The 25727-nt window shown below is 44.6% G+C and overlaps 1 protein-coding gene across 4 annotated transcripts in view, besides 4 other annotated features; it reads left to right on the forward strand.

Moving 5' to 3' along the window:
- TBL1X (transducin beta like 1 X-linked) overlaps positions 1-25727 on the forward strand; it is a 256446-nt gene that overhangs the window by 116507 nt on the left and 114212 nt on the right. The gene's annotated exons all lie outside the window — the stretch shown is intronic.
- Positions 6875-7395: an enhancer, noted in NCBI's record as "OCT4-NANOG-H3K4me1 hESC enhancer chrX:9554716-9555236 (GRCh37/hg19 assembly coordinates)". NCBI's record gives its function as "activates a minimal SCP1, AML or CMV promoter by ChIP-STARR-seq in naive and primed H9 embryonic stem cells {active_cell/tissue: H9 hESC(naive and primed)}" and the evidence as "EXISTENCE:reporter gene assay evidence [ECO:0000049][PMID:30033119]".
- Positions 7396-7915: an enhancer, noted in NCBI's record as "OCT4-NANOG-H3K4me1 hESC enhancer chrX:9555237-9555756 (GRCh37/hg19 assembly coordinates)". NCBI's record gives its function as "activates a minimal SCP1, AML or CMV promoter by ChIP-STARR-seq in naive and primed H9 embryonic stem cells {active_cell/tissue: H9 hESC(naive and primed)}" and the evidence as "EXISTENCE:reporter gene assay evidence [ECO:0000049][PMID:30033119]".
- Positions 13618-14119: an enhancer, noted in NCBI's record as "H3K4me1 hESC enhancer chrX:9561459-9561960 (GRCh37/hg19 assembly coordinates)". NCBI's record gives its function as "activates a minimal SCP1, AML or CMV promoter by ChIP-STARR-seq in naive H9 embryonic stem cells {active_cell/tissue: H9 hESC(naive)}" and the evidence as "EXISTENCE:reporter gene assay evidence [ECO:0000049][PMID:30033119]".
- Positions 14120-14619: an enhancer, noted in NCBI's record as "H3K4me1 hESC enhancer chrX:9561961-9562460 (GRCh37/hg19 assembly coordinates)". NCBI's record gives its function as "activates a minimal SCP1, AML or CMV promoter by ChIP-STARR-seq in naive H9 embryonic stem cells {active_cell/tissue: H9 hESC(naive)}" and the evidence as "EXISTENCE:reporter gene assay evidence [ECO:0000049][PMID:30033119]".

Here is a 25727-nt window from a genome sequence, read left to right on the forward strand (position 1 = left end):
ATTTCTCCCCTGTGCTGGATTTTGAATGTTCTTTCAACCACCGTGATAGAATGTCCAAGAAAGGAACAAAGGAAGAGGCAACTAAGGGAATCTTTCAGTGGGTTCATAAGCCATGCTGCTCCTGGCTTTGACAGGAGTTAAAATCATGGGTATCCCTAAACCACTATCATTATTGGAGTTGCTGTTACTGTCGACGTAAAGAGTCAAACTCTGTAAAATATTTGAAGAGATTTATTCTGAGCCAACTCTGAGTGGCCATGGCCTGTGACACAGCCCTCAGGAGATCCTGAGTACATGTGCCCAAGGTGGTGGGGGCACAACTTGGTTTTATACATTTTAGGGAGAACACAGCTTGGTTTTATATGTGAACCCCCAAAATCTGAGACGGGTCTCAATCAATTTAGGAAGTTTATTTTGCCAAAGTTAAGGATGCGCACCCATGACACAACCTCAGGAGGTCCTGACGATGTGCCCAAGGTGGTCCAAGCACAGCTTGGTTTTATACATTTTAGGGAGACATGAAACATCAATCAGTATATGTAGGATGAACATTGGTTTGGTCTGGAAAGGCGGGACAACTCAAAGTGGGGAGGGGGCTCCCAGGTCATAGGTAGACAAGGGACAAATAGTTGTATTCTTACGAGTTTCTGATTAGCGTCTCCAAAGGAGGCCATCAGATATGCATCTATATCAGTGAGCAGAGGCCTGTCGTTGAATAGAAGGGGAGGCAGGTTTGCTCTGAGCAGTTCCCAGCTGGATTTTCCCTTTAACTTAGTGATTTGGGAGCCCCAAGATTTATTTTCCTTTCACATACACATTTGAGGGAGACATGAGGCATTGATCAGACACATTTAAGGTAGACATTGGTTCAGTCCAGAAAGGTGGGACAACTTGAAGCAAGGGTGCAGGGGGAAGGGGGGGTGCTTTCAGGTTATAGGTAGATTTAAAATTTTTTTGATAGGCCATTGGTTGAAAGAGTCATTACCAATAGAAAGGAATGTCTGGGCTACCTTAAGAGGTTGTGGTGACCAGTGTTTTATCCTGCAGATGTAGCCTCCAGGTAGCAGGCTTCAGAGGGAACAGATTGTAAATGTTTCTTATCAGACTTGAGGTCTGTGATGATGTTCGTGCTGGAGGGGCTTAATGAGGCATGCTTGACCCCCACTTCCCGGCAGTCATGGCCTGGTCCGTCTTTCAGGATAAATTTAGTTGGCCTTGGCCCAGAGGAGGAAGTCCATTCAGGTGCTTGGGGGGCTTTCGAATGTTATTGTTGGTTTACATTATGATTGTCATTGTTATTAAAAAACTAAGGGCTGTAGAGAAATGGTTGCAGCATCCATCATGTGTCCCTAGGAATTGCACATAGCTAAGTGAGAACCTCACAGAACCCTTTCACGTGCAGCCCGATGCTGTCACTGTTCATAAACAATTGTATTTTGCCTTCCTGAAAGGCCATCTGAGTTCATTAAACTTGCATGCTTCCATATCTATACATTCTTTTCTCATGGCCTCTTTGTGGATGGTTTGTTTTACCATTTGTTGTCCATCAGCTTGAATGGTAGGGGGAAGAGTTCACACCGTGCCCCCTGTGTAGCAGAATAGCCCACAGTTCAGGCATGGCTCTCCAGCAAGGAGCTTTCTAGGGCTCTGATGCTCACCAGTGGGGGGATTGGGCACCCCTCCGCAACTGCCAGGGGACATTGACAATGTCTGGAGACATTTTGGGTTGTCTCAGTAGCTGTGTGGGGGATGCTGTTGGCTAGTGGGTGGAGCCCTGGGATGCTGCTAACATCCCACCATGCACAGTACAGCCCCAACAGCCAAGAGTGATGGCTCACAAATGCCAACATAAGAAACCCATTCTAGGGTACCTTTCATTTGCTTAGTGCTGCGAGAAGGTTTATCTGCCAAAGATCATCATCTTGGAGAGGGCCAAGATCCTGTATCCTGTACTGGACAGATATGCAGGCATTCAAATTCTGAAACGCCGTTGGAAACATGAGGCTCGGATCACAGAAGCCTCCTGTACATAGAGCAAATGAGAGCTGGAGGCCTGCTGCCCAGCCCAGCTGAGTCCTGTTTCTTATTTCGGTTTTCCTTTAGATTCCACCGAAGTTTCTCTGAAGAATGCTGACTCAGGCTGCCCCTTTTATTCCATTTCTTTGCAGGGCAGTTTAGGTGAAGCTGGAACACAGTGTTCCCTGAGGAAGCATTAGGACAATTAGACCCTGCCTTTGCTAAATGAATGTATCAAGAACCTTCAACGTCTTTACAAGAAGCAGGATAACCATTTTGCAGAGTACTGTGCTTAGTAGCAGAGCATGGCTTCTGTTACACAGTTTCAGTATTGCAAAGGTCCCCAGCCAGTACAGTCCCACCCTTAATTACTGCTTCAGAGCTGCAAGTTAACGTTTAAAGTGTTTTCACAGTAGCTTGAAGTGTGATCTCCCATATTACGGTCATATCCTTGGACTTAGCCCATGTTACATAAATTAGATCTTTATAAGCAGCACACTTCTTTGCAAGCAATTTGCTTCCCTTTGGGAATCTGATTCCATAGAAAACAGTAGTATTTTAAACATGTTGATTCTAGTACTTACAGTTCTATTCACGTGCTCCTGGTATAGTACATCTAATAAGAAAGAATCCCTTATTTTTACTTTTATCCAAATGCATGTATGTTCTTTCAGCATGAGATATAATTTGTCTGATCAAGTATATAGGGAGATGAGATTAAGAATTAAGATTTGTTTCAAGATATGAGATTAAGAATTAAGATTTATTTCAAGAAACTCAATTGCATGGTTGCTCGCATAAGCCACTATGCAGTGGCAGCTTTAATGAATGGGGTTCCAATGTTTTCCTTACTGTTTTCAAGAAGGTAGTGAATAAAATTAGATGTTAAAGCGAATTGCATTGTGTGAAGATTGGGACAGATGCCACATATATAGTTCAGATGCTTGCCTGCCAGTCCCTGAGATATACTCTTAGCTTGTTAATATGGAAATTGTCAAACATATTCAGAAGTATACAGAATATCTTGGTATATTCCTGTGTATTCTTCACTCATCTCCAGCCACTGTTAGCGTGTCACGAGCTTGTCTCATCGTCCCCTCACTGTTTTCTCTTTAGAGTAATTTAAAGCAGATCTCAGACATCATGTGATTTTTACCTATAAACATTTCAAGTTGTATCCCTAATATAGAAGGATTTTTTTATGATACTATTATTCTGTAATTGTTTCCTGTTTGCCTTAACGAAAAGACCACAGACTAGGTGGCTTAAAATAGCAGAGATGTATTGTGTCATTGTTGAGGAGGTCAGCAGGGTGGTCAGGCGGCAGCAGGGTGGCTTCCTTTTGGAGGCTCCAAGGGAGAGCCCCTTCTGTGTCTGTCCTCCAGGTTCTGGTGCCTGCAGGTGCCCCTTGGCCTGTGGCTGCATAACGCCAATCTCTGTCTGTTAGGAGGACACTGTGTTTAGAGCCCATGCAATAACCCAGAATACCTCATCTCAGGATTCTTAATTTAATTACATCTGCAGTGACCCTTTTTTCCCAAATGAGGTCACATTCAGTCTTTTACTATATAAGGTCATATTCACAGAGTCCAGGGATCAGGTTGTGTACTTAATCCTGTTTCTTTCGTGCTCATGGGAATGTATGAGTTAGGGGAATACAGATTATCTTTGTGTTGTAGGGTTTTCTTAAGATTATGATTTATTGAAAAAGAAGGTCAATGGCATATAAAGGAAAATGTCATTGATAAATATAAAAAGAAATGCAAGTTTTTTAGGCCAAGCAGAATGCTTATAGGAGCCAGTGTCTTGGATTAAAATTATATGTGAACCTCAAGTGTTATCATCTATAAAGTGAAGGTAGCCGTGAATTACCTCTTAGATTGTTGTGAAGATAAAAATGAATACAGCATTAACACAGTATATAAATGCTAAGCATTTAGTAATTATAGTTCGCCTCTTTTTTTCTGGAGGCTCAAAGTTGATTGTAAATGTCAAACCAAGAAATAATACTAGGTACTAGCAACACATAATGCAAAGGAATGATTCCTGTGATACATGAAGAACTCCTATAAAGTACTAAGGAGGATGACCAGCAGCAGGCCATGAGAAAAATGAAAAAAGACATGAACAGTTTTCTTAAAGGGAAATAATGAATAGCTCTAAAATGTATGGAATGAAGCTCAATCTCCCTCATGACATGGGGAATGCAGATGAAAAGTGTAAGGTACCATTTCACCTTTCCCATTAGTAGAGGTCAGAGGTGTGACTGTGTTCCGCTGGCAGGAGCTCAAATAAAAGCGGGTGTTGTTGCTGGCAGGCATTGCAAGAGGTCCAGCCTCTTTGGGGAGCAGATTGGCAAAAGATATCTGACCTAGAATTGTCACTTCTTGGGATTTAGCTCATGGACATAGTGTAAATATATGCAAAGAAGTACTCACATGATATTCACCAAAGGCATTGTAAAAGCAGAAGGATGAAAGCAACCACCCACAGTGAACGTGTTAGATTATAATAAAGGCATAGAATCTATCAAACAATAGGAAAAAAAGCATAATTCTGTATATGGAATGAACTCCACATGACGCTCTTGCATGTAAAAAGCAAGACAGATACCTGATTGTGAGTAGAGTTTAATACAAGTTCTATGTCAAAGTGGGAGGAGCTATATGGGCTGGTCTAGGTAGAATATTTCTGGAAGGAAATACCAAAAATTGGACTTCCCTGTTGGGGAGAGGTGGATTTTAGAGATGGGGTAGTAGCAGCTTCTCAAAAACCAAGAGAAAGCTTCGCATTTACAATGGGATTATTGGAAGCAATAGGAAACACCCATTTTTGTAAAATCTGTGAGAATGTGTATACTTGGTAAAAGTATAGATATTCAGCCATTAAAAGGAATGAAGTATTCATATATGCTACATTGTGAGAATTGAGGATATGCTACATTGAAAGAAACCAGCCACAAAAGACTGTATAAGGTTCCATTTGTGGAAAATACTCAGAAAACCTTGGGGGAGGAGGGGACAGGAAGTGTCTGTTTAGTGGGTATTAGATCTCCTTTGGAGGAGAGGAAAATGTTTTGGAATTAGATACAGAGGTGGCGGTGATTGTATAACATTGTGAATGCCCCCAAATGCCACTAAATTGTACACTTGAAAATGGTTAATTTTATGTCGTGAATGTTACTTCAATTTTTAAAAAAATCCAACTGCAAGGAGAGAAGATTCTCTAGGGAATGGCTTGTCAAAGCATCCATGTCAAAGGGACCATTTAAAAATTTCCAGTCTGAGGTGGGTGCCTTTGTGAAAAGCAATTAAAATGTATAACTAGAAGAGCAATCATGTCTCAGACACCAACGCAAGCACAACTTGCCCTAAGTTTTCTAAGCACTTCTTACCTCATTCATTCATCACCAGAGACAGACAGTTCCCAGGCCAGAATCCGCACCTGGATGCAACTTTTAATACATGGATCTAGAGTTGTGTTCTTCCAGCTCTAGAAGAGCTCCATGCCACCCCCCTCCCCTCCCCCCCCCGCCACAGCTTGTCAGAAATGCAGATCACAGGCCGTCTCTAGGTCTGCTGAATGAGAATTTGCATTTTAGTAAGCTGCCTAGGCAGCTCAGAAGCACATTAAAGTTTGAGAGGGTAATTTGGGGACAGTAAAGTGCAGTCGGAGGAGGATGGTTTTGTGGCCCTTTGGACTGGTCACTTAATGACTGTGACCCTGGGCAAGGGACTGGGTTCGTTCCCTAGGCTCCTGTAACAGAGTGCCACAGACTGGTGGCTTACCGTATAGAAACAAATGCTCTGCAGCTCCAGAGGCCACAGGTCTGAAACTGTGGTGTTGTGGGGTTGGCACCTGTTCCAGGCCTCTCTTCTTGGCTTGTAGAAGGCTGTCTTCATGTTCACATGACCTTCTGCCTATGTGCAGTTCTGTATCCAAATTCCCCACCTTAATGACATCATCTTCACTAATTACATGTACGGCGACCTTATGTCCAAGTCAGGTCACATTCTGAGGTACTGGGCGCTAGGACTTTAACATGTGAATTTTAGGGGAACACAGTTGAACCCGTAGCAGTACTTAACCTTTCTAATCCTCAATTTCGTCATCTTAAAAATGAGTAAACTACACATTAATGTGGGTACCATCAAAAAAACAAAAAAACCAACCCAAAAAATAGTAAGTGTTGGCAGGGATGTGGAGAAATTGGAACTCTTATGCACTATTGGAAGGATCATAAACAGGTAAACACTATAGACTATAGTTCAGCAGTTTCTTAAAACTAGAATTATCAGATGATCCAGCAAATCCACTTTTGGGTATACATCCAAAAGAATTGAAATCAGAATCTCAAAGAGACACTTACACACTCAGGTTTAGAGCAGCGTTATTTATATTAACCAAGAGGTGGAAACAGCCCACATGTCCCTCAGCAGATGACTGGATAAACAAAATGTGGCCTGTCCACACAATGGAATAGTATTCGGCCTTGAAAAGGAAGGAAATCCTATCACATGCCGCAATTTTGTATGAAACTTGTGGACATTATGTTAAGTGAAATAAGCCAGTCACAGAAGAGAAATACTGTATAATCCCACTTTCATGAGGTATCTAAAGTACACAAATTCGTAGAGACAGAAAGTAGAATGGCAGTTGCCAGGGGCTGGGGGAGGTGAAATGGGGAATTGTTGAATGGGCATAGAGTTGGAGTTTTGCAAGATAAAGAGAGTTCTGGAGATTGGTTGCACAGCATTGTGAATTTAACACTGTTGAACTGTGTACTTAAAAATGGTTAAGAGGCTGGATGTTTTGGGTCACACCTGTAGTTCCAGGGCTATGGGAGGCTCAGGTGGGAGGATGGCTTGAGGCCAGGAATTCAAGACCAGCCTGGGCAACATAGTGAGACCCCATCTTTTACAAAAAATTAAAATTAGCCAGGCATGGTACTGCATGCCTTTAGTCCCAGCTACTTGAGAGGCTAAGGCAGGAGGATCGTTTGAGCCCAGGAGGTCAAGGCTGCAGTGAGCTATGATCACACAGTTGCACTCCAGCCTGGGTGACAGAGCAAGATTCTATCTCAAAAAAATAAATAAATAAAAGATGGAGAGGAGCGTTACTTTTTTGTGTGCAGGAACGATTGCTGACTGCAGAGCCTGGCTGGCTAAAATTAGATTTGCCTTGTCAGTATAATAATTGTAGGTATTTTTGGAGGGAAGGATGCCTGGAGCCCGGCTGGGTTATTTCCGCCCTTGGAGTGAGCCAGGGCAGCTTAGAGGGCTACCCGCGTGCAGCCCTGGAAGGTACCGAAGGAGCCCTGGAGGCACCGAGCGCTGGAGGCCTCATCCCTGAGCAGGTTGCCCTCCTTCTGGTCGGATGGCAGGGCGGAAACCCATCTGTGTCGGGAGTGAGAGCTGTCTGCTGTCCGCGGCTTGCGCTTGGAGCTTTTCCTGCAGTCCAGGGAGAGCAGAGGAGGCCAGTGACTTCCATGAAAACACCCCCAGTGGTGGGGAGGGAGGCGGCATCCCTTGGAGGTAGGGATGGGGCCCCTGCTGTGACCCATTAGAGGCAAAGAAGGGCTTGGAAGTTTCATTTTGTCTTACATGAGTGTGTGTGCCGAGTTCACATTATTTGCACATCTGTGTTTGTTTTTATATAATGATAAGGACATCAGTTTCCATTGATAAACTATAAGGAAGATGTGCCATGTTTACCAGGGCCAGAGTGAAGAGACTGAGGTGCTTGCTTTGGGAGAAAAATTTGAGGGGGTGACAAACACCACAGACATCAAGATAAATTATCTGTGTGTATTTTAATAGCTTTATTGAGATGCTGTGCACAGCCATACAATTCACGCATTTGCAGTGCACAGTTCAGAGGTTTTTACTATATCCACAGAGGCGTGCACCCGTCACCACAGCCCAGTTTAGAACATTTTCATCACCTGGGGAAGAAACACCCACCCAGTGGCAGTCACTTCCCACCCCACCCCCACCCCTGCCACCGTGCATTCTGCTTTCTGTAGATGAATGCGTTTGTCTACTCTAGGAACCTCATACAAGCAGAGTCATACAGTGTCTGTCCTTCTGTGTCTGACTTCTTTCACTCTGCGTGTGTTCCTGGTTCATTCATGTGGTAGCACGTGCCAGACATTCCTTTCTGTTACACAGTACTGTATGTATTATATATGTACACAGCCGGCTGTTCATATCCACGAGTTCTGCTTCTATGAATTCAACCAACCGTGGATTGAAAGTATTTGGGAAAAATAATAATGCAACAATAAAAAAATACAAGTTTAAAAACAAATAGAGCATAACAGATATTTACATGACATTGACATTGTATTGGGTATGATACATAATCCAGAGGTGATTTAAAGTGTAAGGGAGGATGAGCGGTTATATGCAGATGCTACTCCCTTTTATCTAAGGGACTGGAGGATACTCGGATTTTGGTATCTGCAGGGGTCCTGGACCCATCCCCTGTGGATGCTCAGGGGCGGCTGCACCACATTTGATCTATGTGTTCATCTGTCAGTAGATGTTTGGGTTGTTTCCATTCATTTTTTGGCTAAGTGAATAATATTTTAATGTGATATTTAAAAAATTAAAATGAATGCAAGAAATTCCATGAGGAACAAAATATTAATTTTAAGTAAAGACCACAGGATCAGTATTTCTGAAGTTTCCTTTTGCCTCAGGATCCAGTATGGCTCCATACATTACTGATCCTGTCTCTCTCTCTAACATTTTGATATTTTGTCATGTACTTTTTGCATTCATTTTGATTTTTTTTTTTTCTTTTTGAGACAGAGTCTCTGTTGCCCAGGCTGGAGTGCAGTGATGCGATCTCGGCTCACTGCAACCACCGCTTTCCAGGTTCAAGCATTCTCCTGCCTCAGTCTCCTGAGTAGCTGGGATTACAGGCACACACCACCACGCCCGGCTAATTTTTGTATTTTTAGTAGAGACTGGGTTTTACCATGTTGGCCAGGCTGGTCCCAAACTCCTGACTTCAGGTGATCCACCTGCCTCGACCTCCCAAAGTGCTGGGATTACAGGTGTGAGCCACTGCGCCCGTCCTCATTTTGATTTTTAAAGATAATGTATTACACTATTGTTTCTTTTGATGGTTGAATTTTCTGGCATCCCCTTCAATTTTGCACCAGAGGTAAGTGATCCTAATCCCTGCCCTGACATTTTACACTGTGCTGTGAATACCCCAGGGCATCATGAGGAATAAAATTTGAAAGTGTATTTCAGTGAGCTAACTTGGCTGGACAGAATACCCATGGGTTATCCTTACCAGTGGTGCCATATTTATGCCTTTCAGCAGTGTTGTGATTAAACTCAGGTCCAGTAAAATTATCATTATACTATATTAGTTTTGTAGAACTTCTGTAACAAATTTCCACAAACTGAATGGCTTGGCTTAAAACACCAGAAGTATATCCTCTCACGGTTCTGGAGTCCAGAAGTCCAAAGTCAAGATGGGGGCAGGGTTGTTTGCGTCTGGAGCCTCTACAGGAGGATCCTTCCTGCCTCCTCCAGCTCTTGGTGGCGCCAGGCTCCAGTTCCCTTGTAGATGCTACAAGGGAACTCTTGTTTATAGTCGGGATAGAAATTACACAAAACCCGGTCTTGATTGGGGATACCTTTTGGAGTACTGGCAAGTTGCCGCATGGACTGAGCCTTCCGATCGGAGTTTGCTGTCTTGCTGGTGATCTGCCTGGATGCCGGTGCACACACTAATCCCTGAACACACTAAGCATTGCGCTTGCTGTTGTTTAACTTTTCATCCATGATTGAATTCAGGAGTTCTTTTTTTAAAATGGCCATTTTTAAAGATTTCTAATTGGGAGTTTTTCTTCTGAAAAGAATACCCGTAAAGCAAACTATTTAAATTATACACTGAGAGACGTATGTTCATTCTTGTATCCATAACAGTTAAGAATCATTACCTATTACTAGCATAGGCACAAAGCGTCTCCTCTAAGACATTTGTTAATTACAAAAGGGACAAAAGTAGTGACATGTGGGGAAGAAACCCAGCAGATACCACCTAGGTGGTCAAGGTCATCATCATCATCACGATGAGGGCATGTTGACACCCTGTGATAATCTGAGAAGGACTCAGCATCACTCCTGTGGTGTTCCTGCCAAAAATGCGTAAGAGTCTAATCACGAGAAAAATTAGACAAACCCAAACTGAGAGGCATTCTGCAAAACACCTCTCCTGCTCCTCCAAAGCATTAAGAGTGACAAGGGAAGAACGGGGAACCATCACAGGTCAAAGGGGATGTGCTGACTATAGGAATGTGGGCTCCTGGGAGAGAGAAAGGGCGGAAGGAGAAACCGGTGAAATTGGGTAAGTCTGTAGTTCACTTACTTGTGCTGTGCCGGGTCTTAACTTTCTTATATTTTGCTAATTGCTATGTTTGTGTAAGATGTCAACATAAGTGGAAGCTGGGTGGCAGTTATATGCAACTCTGTGCTATTTCTGCAGCTTATTGTAAGTCTAAAAATTATTTCAAGATTAAAAGTTTTTTTTTTTAAAAAAGTCAGATGAAAACACGAATAAGTAAAAAAAACATAAAAAGAGAGAAAAAAGGAGCCATTTATATGATTAACTTTTTGGTTGGTGTCGCCATAAGTTTTTTCAGTTCGGATTCTTAGTAAAGGATGTGGATCAAAACAAATCTTCATACTAAAACATCAGCAGAGACCTTATTTCATTTGAACAAAATATCATGAAGTCAGGATTCGTTTTGCATTTGAATCTTGAACATTTAAGTTTTTTAGGAAATTTGTGGTGCTCCTGTCCTTGAAAGGAAGCCCACATATGTTCAAAATGCAGTATCTTTTAAATGCATTTGAATTTTTTAAAGTTTTGGTGTTTGTTGTTTTTGGTTGTTTATTGCTTTGATTTTTCATGAGCAGTGCTGTTCAGGGGTACTATTATTGTCAGTTTTAAATCACTGCTGCAGCATACTTCATTTGATCTTGAGACTTGCCATGAGTCTTACTGTGGGGGTGGGGAGGATGGGGAAAGAAACCATTGAGTATGAGTTGGCATGTCCCACAGAACAGCGGGCGGACACTTCAGGGGGCTGTGCCTTTCTCAGAGACTCGAGGGCTATGCCCAAATCGTTATGCAGTGTGTATGTGTGGGGGGGATAGTTGGGGGGACGGGTATGGGGAAAGGAGTAATCTACCAGGGACGACCCAGGACAGATCCCAGAGCCAGGAATGAGGGTTGGATCTTGGGCAAGGCCATCTCTGCCATGACTGCTTGTGGGAACTCCTGCTTACTCCCCGTGACCCTGAGCAAAACTTCCAAGTTTGAAGCCTCAATTTTATGCTCTGTCAAAGAAACTAGTTTTTCACCCTCCACCAGAGGATGAAGTATCATTCTCCACGTGAAGCACTCAGCACAGTGCCTGTCCCCTCTGCAGACATGATGCCAATCTGTGATGATGTTCTCTTCTGTCAGCATTTTACAAAGCAGATGAGAGCGTTCACTTGCACAGCCTCCTGTTGACCTTTCTTCTCTCAGACGCCTTGCTGTAGATCCCAATCGACTGCTTTTCCTTGGCCAGCCGATTCATGCAGTCTCTTGCTTACTTAATACTGTTGATATATTTAAATTATTGTTTAATAAATACTTGTTATTCTGGAGTATATTTGTTCATCCAAGGATGGTTTACTACTGCTTGCTTTGTGCAGGTTATAACAGGTAAGGGGGTGGAGGTGTGTGCAGAGCATCAGCTGGTCATCAGCCATCTTGCGGGAGTGCCCAGAGGGGGGAAGAGCAAAGCCTACCCCTTCTACGGAGTGTGAGGGAGGCAGGCTTGGGTGGAGGCAGGACTGCACCAGCCTTCCAGAGCTCAGAGAGGTGACACCTGAGCCAAGTGACACACACATGATAAAGAGGAGGTTTCTGGAGTCCAGAGGAGGAAGGCATCCTTGGCTAAGAGGACAGCATGAACTCATAGGGTACCTCCAGGAATTTTTCCCCTGGGCAGTAGGGGCAGAGAAAGGTACCCAGGGGGGCAGGGGATAAGGACTGGCATGGAGCATGGGCTCGATATCAGCCTGCTGATTTTAATGAAAGCCGTTTGGTCACCTGAAGAACAGCTTTGATTTTACTTCTGTAATCTAAACTCTTTTGAGTTGGAATATAAAACTCAGTGTTCCATGTGACAAAGGGGTTTTTAAATTGGTCATTCCCTTAAACATCTTTACATTTTCGTATCTGTTGATGTCATTTTTTTCCCCATTGCTGACTCCTGTTCCTGTCTTCTATTTCTGCTCTTGACTTAATAATTCTTGGCTTCTTGACGTTTATCATTGCCGACTGCTCTGAATCCTCATCTTCCCTTCATTTATTTCCATTTGTCCGCTCTGTTTACTGCCTGAGATGTTGACCTTTTTTCCAAGCATGCACTAAGCGGCATTTTAAAGAAGCAGCATCATGTCATAGCTCCTGGTAGTGGGGCTGGGCCTATTCATCTTGGGGCTTCTTTATCTACCTTGGTTGTAGGTAGTTAAGAAAATCTTAACCCTTGGGTCATTATTTCTATAGTGGGTCAAAGAGATGACCACGTTACTAAAACTTTCATGTCTAGTTGCATATTCTGTTTTTTTTATTGTGGTAAGATATACATTACGTAATACATTTGTAAGTGTACAATTCAGTGGTATGAAAACATTCACAATGTTGTGTAGCCATCACCCTCTTACACCTAAACATTTTTCCATTATCCTTCTCCAAAACTCTCTGCTCATTATACAATAACTGGCCCTTCCACACTCCCCTCCCCACACTCAGTCCCTGGTGACTTCTCTTTTTTCTCTTTATTTGCCTATTCTAGGTACCCCATAGAAGAGGAATCATATAACATTTATCCTTCTGCGTCTGGCTTATTTCCCTAAGCATAATGTTTTCAAAGTCCATCCGTGTTATAGCATATATCAAAATGTCATCGTATTTTTGTGGCCGAATACTAATCCGTTGTAGGGTCACTCACACGCACACACGTAGAGTAGCTGTGAGTACAGTGCCCAGATTGGTACAGAAAGGCCACAGTGCCCATGGGTCTGTCCATTTTACATGCTGTACCGTGTGCTTCATGGGAAATATATTTCTTCTGTGAGTTTTCTTGTACATTGCTTGTTTCCAGACTTCTAAAGGGGTGGTTGTGGGGATGTGGTGCTGTGTCTCAGGTATACTCTGCTTATGAAATAGCGGGTGTGATGGAAGGGTGGAGAAAGGGAGTTGAGTAATAATGTTCACCTGGGGTCGGGCGCGGTGGCTCAGGCCTGTAATCCCAGCACTTTGGGAGGCCGAGGCAGGCGGATCACCTGAGGTCAGGAGTTCAAGACCAGCCTGGCCAATGTGTTGAAACTCCGTCTCTACTAAAAATACAAAAATTAGCCAGGTGTGACGGTGGGCGCCTATAATCCCAGCCACTCAGGAGGCTGAGGCAGGAGAATCGCTTGAACCCGGGAGGCAGAGGTTGCAGTGAGCTGATATCGCACCACTGCACTCCAGCCTGTGCAACAAGAGCGAGACTCCATCTTAAAAATAATAATAATAATAATAATAAGGTTCACCTGATTGAAATAGCCTCTGTATTGAAGAACACCAGCAGGTGAAGTTCGCTTAGCAGATCTGAGCTTCCTGTTACCCTAAACACTGCCAACCTTGACCTACCTCTGAAAGCCAGTGGGATGAGGTCTAGGGCCAGGTGGGAACCTTGGGAAAGGCATGCCCTACTGTTTGACCAAGGGGATGAGGAGGCTGGGTACTCCAGTGATGGAGACCCTTTCCCCACCTTTTCTCTCACCTCTCCTCCACCCAGTGCCCTTTCACCTTTCCTTTCCAACCCCACACCCATCCTTCCGCCCCACTTCCCCATTTATTTCTCTCTGCTCTTTCATTTCCGTGGCCAGCCGCCTCCCAAGCCCTGCCCTCAAGCTTCCCCTCCCTTTTCTTTCATGCCCATAGCCTACCTGGATCTCCTCTCCCTCGTCGGGCCCACCTCCCTCCACCCTTGGGATCCTGGTCACCCCCTCCACTGCAAGGGGGAGAAGGGCTGCACTGTGTGGAGGGTTCTCCCTACCTTGGCTGTGTTCTGGGGATTTCCCACCAGCCCTTGCGCTGCACTGGTGATGCCCGATGTAGCTGAAACTCTGCCCCGCTCGGGGTTACTGGCCTGGGATCAGCATAGGAGATGGGTTTAAAACAGGATGCAGGGAGGCTGCTGGCAGACAGTTATTTGAGGAAATGCATTTCTTAGGATATAGCTTTCAAGAAGGTGCTGTTATTGTGCGTCACACATAGAGTGGCTGTAATGCGCCAGGGCAAATGAAAATTATGTTTATAAAATAGGGCACCTTGTCAAGATTAACTTGTGTGAAATTCCCAAGAATATACCTCAAACAGTTTTTTATGTCAGTGCATGATATTGTAGTAACTCTCCCAGTTCTAGATATCTTTATTTTAAAAGGAATGCTTGTGTGCAGACACATTTTTAGGTGGAGGTTAGTATGTTTTAGTTCTCAGGATTTCTAGGAGAATAAATAGCCATAACTTGATAGGATTGGTATGAATAGTACTTGGTCTTGGGAAGTTTTCTCCATGAAAATGTTTCATGTTGACGTTTTGCTCCCTCCCGTCTTGGTTTTACACTCATTCTTCACAGAACTGTCATTTATAGGAACTTATCCCCTGGCCATCTCTATAGGTGTCTTTCTTGCCCAGATAAGGTGAGAATCATTTTGGAAACCAACTTCTTGAGAATCCACAAGAAATGGGTTTTAGCCACAAGGGATCATTGCATTGCATTCTATAAGATGAGAGCTTCTACAAGAAAAAATTCTGGAGCCAGATATTTTAGGGAAGACAGGGGGCTGATAAGTGAATTGTTATTTTAAATGGTTTTCATTTCCCCTCATCCTGATTTAGAAGAGGAGAGAAAACTCTCCTTAGAATCAGTGGGTAGTCCTGACTTGAATGGGTTTATTTTCTTTTTCTCTCTTGAATTGTCGGTGTATACCCGTGTCTTTCTTGGTTTATCCTTCATCCCCATTCCTCCGGATACCCCTATTTGCATTTAATCTGTTTGGTCACATAACCTCTCAAGTAGCGATCTTGGAGGTTTCAAAACTTAACATTTCATTTTCCCCGCTGGGTCAACTACCAGTCTGGAAGCACCAGGGTTTCCAAGGTTAGGTTACAGTGAAGGCACAGGGGACATCTTCCTGTCTCCTCTGCAGAGCCAGCGCCACTGTGCAGTGGGGTGTGGACCCCGGCTCCTCCCCAGGCTCCCAGGCCTGCAGCTGGCACAGGGGTCCCCAGAACCTGTGAGGGGGTCCTTCCCTCTGCCTCCCTGAGGGACTTGGTGATTCTTAGCCCTCTCTAACAGAGGGAGAAGACGCTGTCAAAAATGTGGTTTGCCCAAACCCACATAGAGCTGGGAAAGGGGCCAGGGACTCAAATAGCAGAGATTTCCTGGCCATCCATCAGTCAGGTTACATCAGTATACTCCATGTGGATTCCACTGGGTGCCGGCCTGGTGGCTGACCCTGCCTTTAGAGGGAACTCATTATTGTGTATTTGAAGTGTAAATACCTCTTTTCCCAGATGTTAATCTTGTTTCAGATATTCGATGGAGAGGGTTCACATAATAAATAATTCCCTCCTGAGTCGGCTTGCGTGGCTCCTGAGAGCAGCTGGTCAGGGCCCTTCTTGTCGGTGTCTCACTGGCTTTTAGCAAAATGGAGACGAAGATGAAAGGGAAACCTTAACTATAGCTTGAATCCTTAGGGTGGACTAAGCACTCAAAGCCTTCCATGCAAAGCAGTGTGGCTTATAAATTGGAGGCATTTTTCTTATTATTAGGACAAACCAGCACCCGAATTGGTTTGTCACCAGTAAAAGAATTTAAAACAGTGCCCGATTTGCACAGCTGAGATTTTGGCAACAGTATCTTACACATCTGAATGGGTGGAGTAAGATGGAGCATCATTCTGTGATATGTTTAAAATAATATACCATGAAATGATGCAGTAAGTGTTGGAGATATCTTCCAGAAGTCTTAGGTCATTTGTTTTCATGTTTAAATTGTTTCCGCAAAGGCATTCTCTTCAACATAAGGAGAGCTAAAAATCAAATACACAGAAATTTTGTAAGTGTGTTGTTTTTTTCTTTTCCTGTTTAGACTTTATAACATTACACTATTTACCTGGGCTAAACAAAATAAATTATTTTGTACATAAAACCACAAGGAGATGGTTTAGCCTACTTATGGGACCAAACTGTTGTATTAGCCAGTGTGGGAGAATATTGCAGAGATGTGTGGCTTCATCAATGAAGATTAGATGTAAAGTCTTTTTAAAATATATGAGAATGTTGAACTAAAGATGGTTCAGATGGGACTTTGCTCGAGTTGCTTGAGTCTAGAAGGCAAAATAAATGTTTGTAATTGTTACATAGGCCAGCCTTCCAAAATCCCAGCTATCCATAGAAAACAAGGGGTCAGCAAAATTGGCCATCTGCCTAGACTGGTAGGTTGTATGGGTCTGAACTAGAGGCAGTCTTTCCCCAGGGGACATTTGGCAATATCTAGAGACATTTTTGGTGTCACCTTGGGGGAGGGGTAGTACTGGCATCTGGTGGGTGGAGACCAGGGATGCCGCTCAACATCCTACAATGCAGCGGTCACCGATAGCCCACCCTGCCCCACCACAGCCAAGAATGATGCACCCAGTAGAAGCACCATCCCTCTTCCACTGGTGACATCCGAACATGTCTACAGACACTGCCTAATGCCTCTTGGGGGGCATAATCACCCCTAGTTGAAAACCACTGCCCTAAACTGAGACTCTGAAATCAACCACTTAATCTCCTTTCCTCTGAGCTCAGGGGAGGGACGTGACTCCTGCGAGCTGCCTTGGCTTTTTGTAGGGGCACAGATAGAAGCCATCCCCCAACACGGTGCCCTGGGTTCTGTGGTGGTCTCTGAGAACCCATGAATAAGGATCCCAGGGAAGCCTTTCTAGGTCGTGCTGCTTTAATATTATTCTAGATGCCGATTTAAAGTCATAAAGGAAGAAGAGCTAGGACTGTGCTGGAGGACCCTAAAGCCCATGGCCCATGGTTTCCTATAATGCTAACCATGCCCGGAGTATCTAGTTATAAATAATTGTGCTGAGGTCATGAATATTTGACTTTGGTTCTCAAATATTCCTAAGAAAAAAGTCATGAAAGCCCCTGATGGTAAAAGGAGGAGAGCTGAGACCTAAGTGGATAGGAGACTCAGGAAAAAGCAAGTTAGAAATAAAGTTCAACAACCACAGGAGAGGAGAAAATGGGTCCAAAAGACTTGGGCTTTAGGCACATCTTACCTAAGGACAAAAAAGTAGAGAAAAGATCAAATGTTGAGAAAAGATTGAGCCATGCGGAGAACGGGCAGGGTGTTGAAGTACCTGCTGCTCTCCTTAAACCCAGCATGCTGTTCACTGCTTTATTTTAGAGAGTGGGTGTAGTGGTCTGTTTCAGAAGACTCAAGTCTACACTGCCTCTGCCACTGAAGTTCCTTTTGACTCTGCAGAAGTCTTTACCTTTCATCTCCTTTCTGAAATGCTGTGAGCATTTTTCCTCCCAGAGACATTAATTGGGAACAGCAGTGAATGCCTAGTTCCTTGCAGTCCTTTGGCCCACACGCATTTCCAGCTGCCCACTGGCCAGACTGGATTCTAAATGCCAAAAGCTACAGGCGCTGACAGAGTGCTTTTGAAAAGAAAGAAATGCATGAAATGCCCCGAATTTATGGGAAATATTTATACCCAGCAGTCCTTGAGCCATGCGTGTCCTTTAGGAACGGTGCTACCAGACAGCCGTCGGCATGGCCTTGCTCCTGGTGGTGCAGGCTCTGATGTTCCACTGATGTGAGCCCAAGAGAGGAATGACCAGTCAGCCTGTAACCCCAGCTCCAGTGTTGTTAATGAGTGTCACCGATCAGGTTTCAGACGTTAGTCAGTGTCCCGGCTCCAGTGTTGTTAATGATGGCCACGGATTGGGCTTCATGCGTTAGTCAGTGTCTCTGTTAGGAGCTGAATTGTGTCCCTGCAAAAGGGATGTATTTAAGTTCCAACCCCTTGCATCTCAGAATGTGAGCTTATTTGGAGGTGGGATCTTAACCGAGTGTGACTGGCTTCCTTAGAAAAAGAGGAAATTTGGACACACTCGTACAGGGAAAAGGCCATGTGAACAGCCACCTCCAAGCCAAGGAGACAGGCTCAGAACAGATTCTCCCTCACAGCCCTCAGAAGAAACCAACCCTACTGACGCCTTGATGTCTCTGAATTCTGCACTCCAGAACCGTGAGAGAGTCAGTTTCTGTGAAGCCAATCAGCTTGTGGTACTTTGTTATGTTGGGCCTATGAAATTCATCTACTGTTACTAGCCTTTCCCAAATATTTCAGTCCATGAAATGCACCCAGCATGGCAACTCTTCAACTTACAGAAATGGAAAAGAGAAAGAATACTGTGCTTCAGCTAGTTTTCTCATTACCCAGAAATGAAAAGGCCTGACCTCTGAAACCTTGAGGAATCTCTTTTTAAGATGCCAGAGCCTGTACTTCTGCCTGATCCAAGCAGAGTTTGCTCGCTACCCCGGGCATCACTTCTCACTGCCCAGGTGGCACTGGATGATGTCCAAGACTGGCCAGATCTGGATGGATTCCATAAATAGCTCGTGCTGTTTCTGGTCAGTGAAGAAAGAGGAAGGCAAAGCCACGTGCATAAGTTTGTTGTGGATGCCATAACAAAGCGCTGCTGGAGTGGCTAAAACGACAGACGTTTATTGTATCCCAGTTCTGGAGGCCAGAAGTCCAAAATCAAGATGTCAGCAGGGCTCTTCCTCCTGAGGGCTTGAGGCAGGATCTGTCCTGTGCCCATCTTCCAGCTTCTGGTGGCTGCTGGCAGTCTTTGGTGTCCCTTGGCTTGTAGCTACATCACCCAGATCTCTGCCTTCATTTGCACATGGCCTTTTCCCTGTGTCCAAATTTCCATCCCCCTACCTTTTTTTTTTGTTTTGTTTTGTTTTGTTTTGTTTTGTTTTTTGTTTTTTTTTTTAGACGGAGTCTCCCTCTGTCGCCCAGGCTGGAGTGCAGTGGCGCGATCCCGGCTCACTGCAACCCCCGCCTCCTGGGTTCAAGCGATTCTTCTGCCTCAGCCTCCCGAGTAGCTGGGATTACAAGCATGAGCCGCCACACCCGGCTAATTTTTGTATTTTTAGTAGAGACGGGGTTTCACCGTGTTGGCCAGGCTGGTCTCGAACTCCTGACCTCAGGTGATCCGCCCACCTCAGACTCCCAAAGTGTTAGGATTACAAGCATGAGCCACTGCAACTGGCCAAATTTCCCCTTTTTATAAGGACTCCAGTCACATTGGCTTAGAGCTCTCTCCTAATGAGTTTACATCTGCAAAGACCCTATTTCCCAATAAGAAGTTACTCCCAGGTACTAGGTGTTAGGGCTTCAACATACGCCTTGGGATGGGCAGTCTTGAATCCATAACACCGTCAATTAAAAGGTTCTGCTTTCATTGCCGCCAGGTTGGGAAAAGTTGCCAGGGTGGGCTTGGTGGAGGAGGGTCTCTCAGCAGGGCAGGGTCATTGCAGGGAAAAGGAGAGAGAAACAGAGACACACAAAAGCAGATAGATTGCCTTGGCAGAGGTGGCCAGACTAGAGTCTTTGAGTTTTGTAGAGAGATCAATTGATTACTTCTAGAAATGTCCTCTTCAAAGTCTCTAGTTTTCTCTCCCATTTCCTTATACAAGGCTCTGGCCATATTACTACTTCTGGCACAGTTGATTCAGTGACTTTTGCATATAGGTTTCCCCAAAGCTAAAGCTAAAAACGAACAAACAAAAAAAGATTATTCATGAATATGCCACAAACTTTGCCCATAGATAAGACTTTGTGATTACAAGCAAAATCTGATTGGAAAATAAAATACATTATATGTTAGAATACCAGGAAACTTCTTTTTGGGGAGCGTCTTTATGAAATGAAGCCATGCTAACCTCCCTGGGACTGCTGATCAGAATGTGCTCCACCCCAAAGCCTCGGAGAGGGCAGGACAGCCAGTGACTCTCTCCTGTCAGTAGACACACTAAACCTGAATCCAGGATGGGAAATCAATGTTTGACACAGCTGTATCTCTTTCAGTTGGATCAGTAACACTCGCTCACTCACTAGGACTTCCATTTGCTTTTAGCTGCCTGCAATGAAAACCTGGCAAGACGTCTTAGTCTGATCCGGCTGCTGTAACAAAATACCGTAGACTGAGTGGCTTATAAAAAATAGAAATGTATTGCTCATAGCTCTGGAGACTGGGAAGTCCAGGATCAAGGCACTGGCAGTTTTGGTGTCTGGTGAGGGCTGCTTTCTCACAGACAGCATCTTTTTGCTGTGTTCTCACATGGTGGAAGGGGTGAGAGCGCTCTCTGGGGTCCCTTTGATAAGGCACTAATCCCATTCATGAGGCCCCACCCTCATGACCGCATTACCTCCCAGAGGCTTTACCTCCCAACACCATCATATTGTAGGTTAGGTTTCAACATAGGAATTTGGTGGGCGGGGGGGGGGGTACACAAATGTCCGGACCATAGAATAGGACATTACAGCTTGAAAAAGCACTAGAGAGAATGACGTTGTTCCTTTGTAACACAGAAAAGCATTCACCTCTCAATTTAGATGAGCCATTTTGACCCCAGTTGGTTCTGAAAATCCTTGTTGACAAACAAAATTGGAGAGGACCATAGCCTGCCTGCTTTTCCCGAGGCCCGGGGAAAGCTTTTTCATATGATGTTATTATAATGTTAGGTGTAACAATAAATGAAAGTTTTGTATGGTCTGATTGGGTAGGACAGGCCTGAACACAGGCAAACCCATCTGCACAGCATGCTCAATTCAGTCAGTGTACAAACCCTGTGTCATGGGAGCAGAGAGAAGGGTCTGCTTCCATTCCGGAGGATGACAGAGGCTTAAGGACGGTGCTGGCGTTTCAGCTGAGCCTTTAAGAAGTGGAATTTTATCCAGAGGTGATCTTCTTGGAATAGAGAGAACAAACAGGTCAGGGCATGCAGACTTGATTACAGGTGCTCTGGGGACCACTGGAATTTTTGTTGAACAGAGGATGATGAAATAAATCAGTGTTCTAGTGTGTTACCTTTGGGCAGTGGCGAGATCCGAGTCTCCATAGTGAACAAATCAGTGCACAGACCAGGGCAGAAGTGCAGGGGAACATGGAACATTCAGGGCCTGGAGGGTGGTACCCAGGCCAACACTGCCCCCTTTTTCCAGCTCCCATCTCTGTCCACATAGTTGGGCCAGTGTAGACATCTGGGTCATATAGGGAGGCATTCCAGTGGCCCCATGTGGTTTCCATGGAGATCTTCAGGAAGGGGTTTTGGGGTGAGAGTTGGTATCTCGTGGCAAGGACACACTCCCTGGGCTAGGTACATATGGGTGGTTTTCTTGTCCTACAGATTGCAAAGATACAGGGGTAGCTGTTCTGCTCTGGGCAGCTTCTGTAGAGACAGGATGTGTATTTGCTTGCCTGCTCCTGGAAGCCAGTCACTGAGGCAGACCTCTTTACTCGTCCAGAAGCATGACTTGGGGATGATTATAGTTCAAGGACATAAGGCCTAGTGGTGTCTTTCATCAGCGCCCCCCATTTTACATTTCTGGGATCCCCCTTTCTCTTTTACTCTGATCTGGCCTCCCTTCCCACCCCTCTGGCCACTCAGGTGAGGAGATGCCAGATCCCAGGTGGGCAGGAAGGAATCCCACTGAATGAGATCCTTGGAATTGCAGCGTAGCCTGGAGCTGTATGTTCATTTTAGATAGAAATATTGACACTATTGACACTATTTGGCCGGGCGCAGTGGCTCACACCTGTAGTCCCAGCACTTTGGGAGGCAAATCACTTTGAGGCCAGGAGTTCAAGACCAGCCTGGCCAACATGGCGAAACCCTGTATCTACTAAAAATACAAAAAAATTAGCTGGGCATGGTGGCACACATCTGGAATCCCAGCTACTCGGGAGGCTGAGGCACAAGAATCCTTTGAAACCGGGAGGCGGAGGTTGCAGTGAGCCGAGATTGCGCCACTGCACTCCAGCCTGGGCAACAGGTCGAGACTGTGTCTTGAGAAAACAAAAAGAAAGAAATATTGACACTATCTGTCCGCAAAAGGTCAAAGGCATAATTACAATATGATTTTGTTTCCATTTTTCTTTTTCTTCTTATTTCATGCAAATGCTGTCTTTTTGAGAGAAGTGGTTATAAGCACAGCGATATTCTATGCTATGTACAGCTCTCATATATAGAACTCTCTAGAATGGCTCAAGTTACCATTAAGCCTCAGGTGATATCAAGGTTATAAAATGTAAAATGAATGATCATGATCATTAAGTAGAAATCCTGGCTGTGTCTTCCAAGTTCTTTTTCTTTCTTTCTTCCTTTTTTTTTTTGGAGATAGGTACTATCTGCATTTCAGCTTAGCTTGCCGCCAGTGTTCTGGTTTCTTGACCATGCTGAGTAATTTTCAGCCACACCTTGTATCCCTTAGAAGCCCTTCTTGATTCTGAGGTACGGGGCTCAGAAAGCTTTGTCGTGGGAGGTTGTAAATTAGGAAACATGAAAATCAGATCAACAACAGTGGCTGGTCCTGGCTGCAGGGCTCATCTGCCTGGAGTAGCTTGAAGTTGAATGTTAATATATACTTTTAAATTGCAGTTGTTTAATTAGGTAAAGTGCACAGGTGACTTTCTCACACTAAATGGATGATGAGTATTGGGAAGAGTTGACTAAAATTTCTCTATCTTTTGCCCATATCCAACTCTCATTGAATTTTAACTCTTATGAGATATGTGCTATTTAATAAATAATGAGTCTGAGTTTTCTCCCTTTTGGAAATGTCAGGAAAGTCTCAATGATTTTAAGTATCTTTTATTTTATAATAGCAATAGAATCTAGAATTTCTAAAATCAAACTGAGTTCTTGATTAAATGTTGAAATGCTTGTCTTCATCCACCTGGGAGCAGTCGTTGTGAACGAGAAGCCCCAGTGCATAAATCATTGAATGATACATTGGAGAAGTCTCAGAGTAAAGGAAGATTTGTTTACTTTTCAGACATCCTGGAAGGTGAGCATCAAAGCAGGTGAGTGGCTGGCTCTTGGATTCAAGCTTCCCTGATCCTTTCCAGAAGTGTATCCTTCTCCTTTAAGAGAAGCCATGGCAGAATTTTTAATTAATTCTTCAGGAGGACTCATTACTGGGAGTGGAGAAAGAGCTCATTATAGTAATGGTTTCACATCCATTCTGTGGTTTGGTGACACAGGTCCCTCGGGTCCAGGCTAAGCCATTGTTCCGGGATCTCTTTTATTGATCTGAAACCCACCCACCACCTTTGTTTTTAGAATAATTAGCTAGTGATGTCACACACAATAACGATTATACTGTTTTAAAAGATCTGTAAATGCGTGTATGGCAGTGTGTATATTTAGCAGTTGCATACACAGATGTACTTATTTATAGGTATACATTTGTGGACAAGAGTTGGTTATCACTAAAATATCAAGTCCATGATTTTGGATCTTGTACACTCTCACAGAACACCGAGGGACACGGTGGAGGCACGCCGGACCCGGGCTGAGCTTGGTAACCATCTGGAGGGGACTGCAGAGGTTGACACCCAGGACTAGAGCTCAGTAGAGGGGCCGTTTCCTACCTGCAGTTCCCTTGGAAGAGAAGGGGTGAAGCTTACCATGTTGGTGGTGGTTTGTTTCCTGGGGCTGCTGTAGCAACGTGCCACCAACTGGCTGGCTTAAAACATGTATGGTCTCCCAGTTCTGGAGGCCAGAAGTGCAGAATCAAGGGGTCCGCAGGGCCCAGCTACCTCTGAGGCCTCCAGGGGAGGATGCTTCCTGCATCCCCTTGCTGCTTTTGGTGTTGCTGGCGGTCCTTGGCTTGTGGGCACAGCACTTTCCTCTCTGCCTCGGTGACTACATGGCCTCCCTGGGTGTCTCTGTCTTCTTGCAAGGACACCAGTCATGTTAGATTATGGCTCCACCCTGCTGCGATTTGACCTCATTTTACTTTAACTAACTATCTGCAATGACCCTTTTTCCAAATGAGGTTCTGAGGTGCTGCACGTTAGGACTTTAGCATGTGATTTCTGCGGACTCAGGTCACCCCATAACAGTAGTCATGCCCCACCCCATCCCACTCCACCCTTCTCCCAATTCCCCTGGTATACTCCAGGGTGGCTCTGTGGCCACACATGACCCAGGCCCACTGGCCATTAGACACTTTGGCAGGGTGGCCAAAGAAATTCTTTGTGCTGAATAAAATTAATGTGTAAATGCGGCGGTGCTCCAAGGGCAGTGTTGCGTGAAAGGGCAATAGAACCATGGCTCCTGATAAACAGAAGCCTGTTAAGCAGCAAGGTCAAAAGCCAGATGCAGAAGTCAGAATTAGCCGGGTAGACTTTTTATTTCACTTTCCCCCCCTTTTTTTTTTGCCAGTGGACTGCCAACTGTTCTCTTAACAGAAGGGCAGTTTTTGAGTAAATGAAGCAGGACTTGATCTGGGTTGTCATAAATTGTCTCTCCCTCAAGAGGTAACTTCTCGTGTTTGCCAGTTCAGAGGTGTAGGGAGACATCTCTGATGTGTAGATGTCCTAGTTTGGGGTGCAGGGTGGCTTTGGGTCTGAGAGCCTGCTGTTGGCCACTGGGTGCGCGTGGGCTTCTCCACATGACAAGACGGGAATGCTGTGAAGGAGGCCGCTGTTCCGCTTGGGATGTTGGCCGAGCGCCGCTGGCCTGTGTCCCTGGAATCCTCTCTGATTCAACCATTGAACATTAACTCTGTGAGGTCACAGCCACCAGCGGGGCTTCTGAGCCCGGCCCTGTTCTGGCCATAGAGGGTCAGGAGGAGAAGACGTTTCACCCTTGGATTTTCTGTGTTTGGAATCCAAGGCCTTTCCCGTGGAGTCTTGTGAGGTTTTCTCGGGAAGAAATGATCCTCTGGGAGAGGCTTGGGCGCGAACTGAAACATCTTTCAAGACACTGTGGCTCTTTTCAGGGAAATGCTAAGCCAAGCAAACATCCACTCAGAAATGTTCTGTATTTGGAAGCCTCAGAGTGTTAGGGGAAGCCTTGACCCTGGAATGTCATCTCCTGGTGGTGGCGGCTTCACGTGGTAAACAGGAGGTAACCTGGGTGTCATGTCACCCAGGTGACATGACACAGGGCCACACAGGATCATCTTCCAGTGGCAGTGGTGAAGATAGGGGATATGATTTCACATCCTCATTAGAGCCCACACATGAGATCCAGCTTTATAATTGGAATCCCAGATAATGAGCATGTGAACGTCCGTAAGTTCCGCCTATTCTGGGTATGATGTCACACTCATAAACAAGCTAAGCACACAAACTGGAATTTCACTTTGGAGGAAAAAAATTTCAATTCTGTTACATGAGATAATACAAGTAGTTTAAAGCCACAGAGGGTCTCTTTCGATCAGGTAGATCTATTCTTCTGTGCTCATGCAATATGATAGAAGAGCTTCTTGCATCTTTATGTCAAGAATTTGCTAAAATAAATCAGACAAGTTTAGGATTTACCT

The sequence above is a fragment of the Homo sapiens genome, chromosome X (assembly GCF_000001405.40).
Source record: "Homo sapiens chromosome X, GRCh38.p14 Primary Assembly".
Classification (NCBI taxonomy): Eukaryota; Metazoa; Chordata; class Mammalia; order Primates; family Hominidae; genus Homo; species Homo sapiens.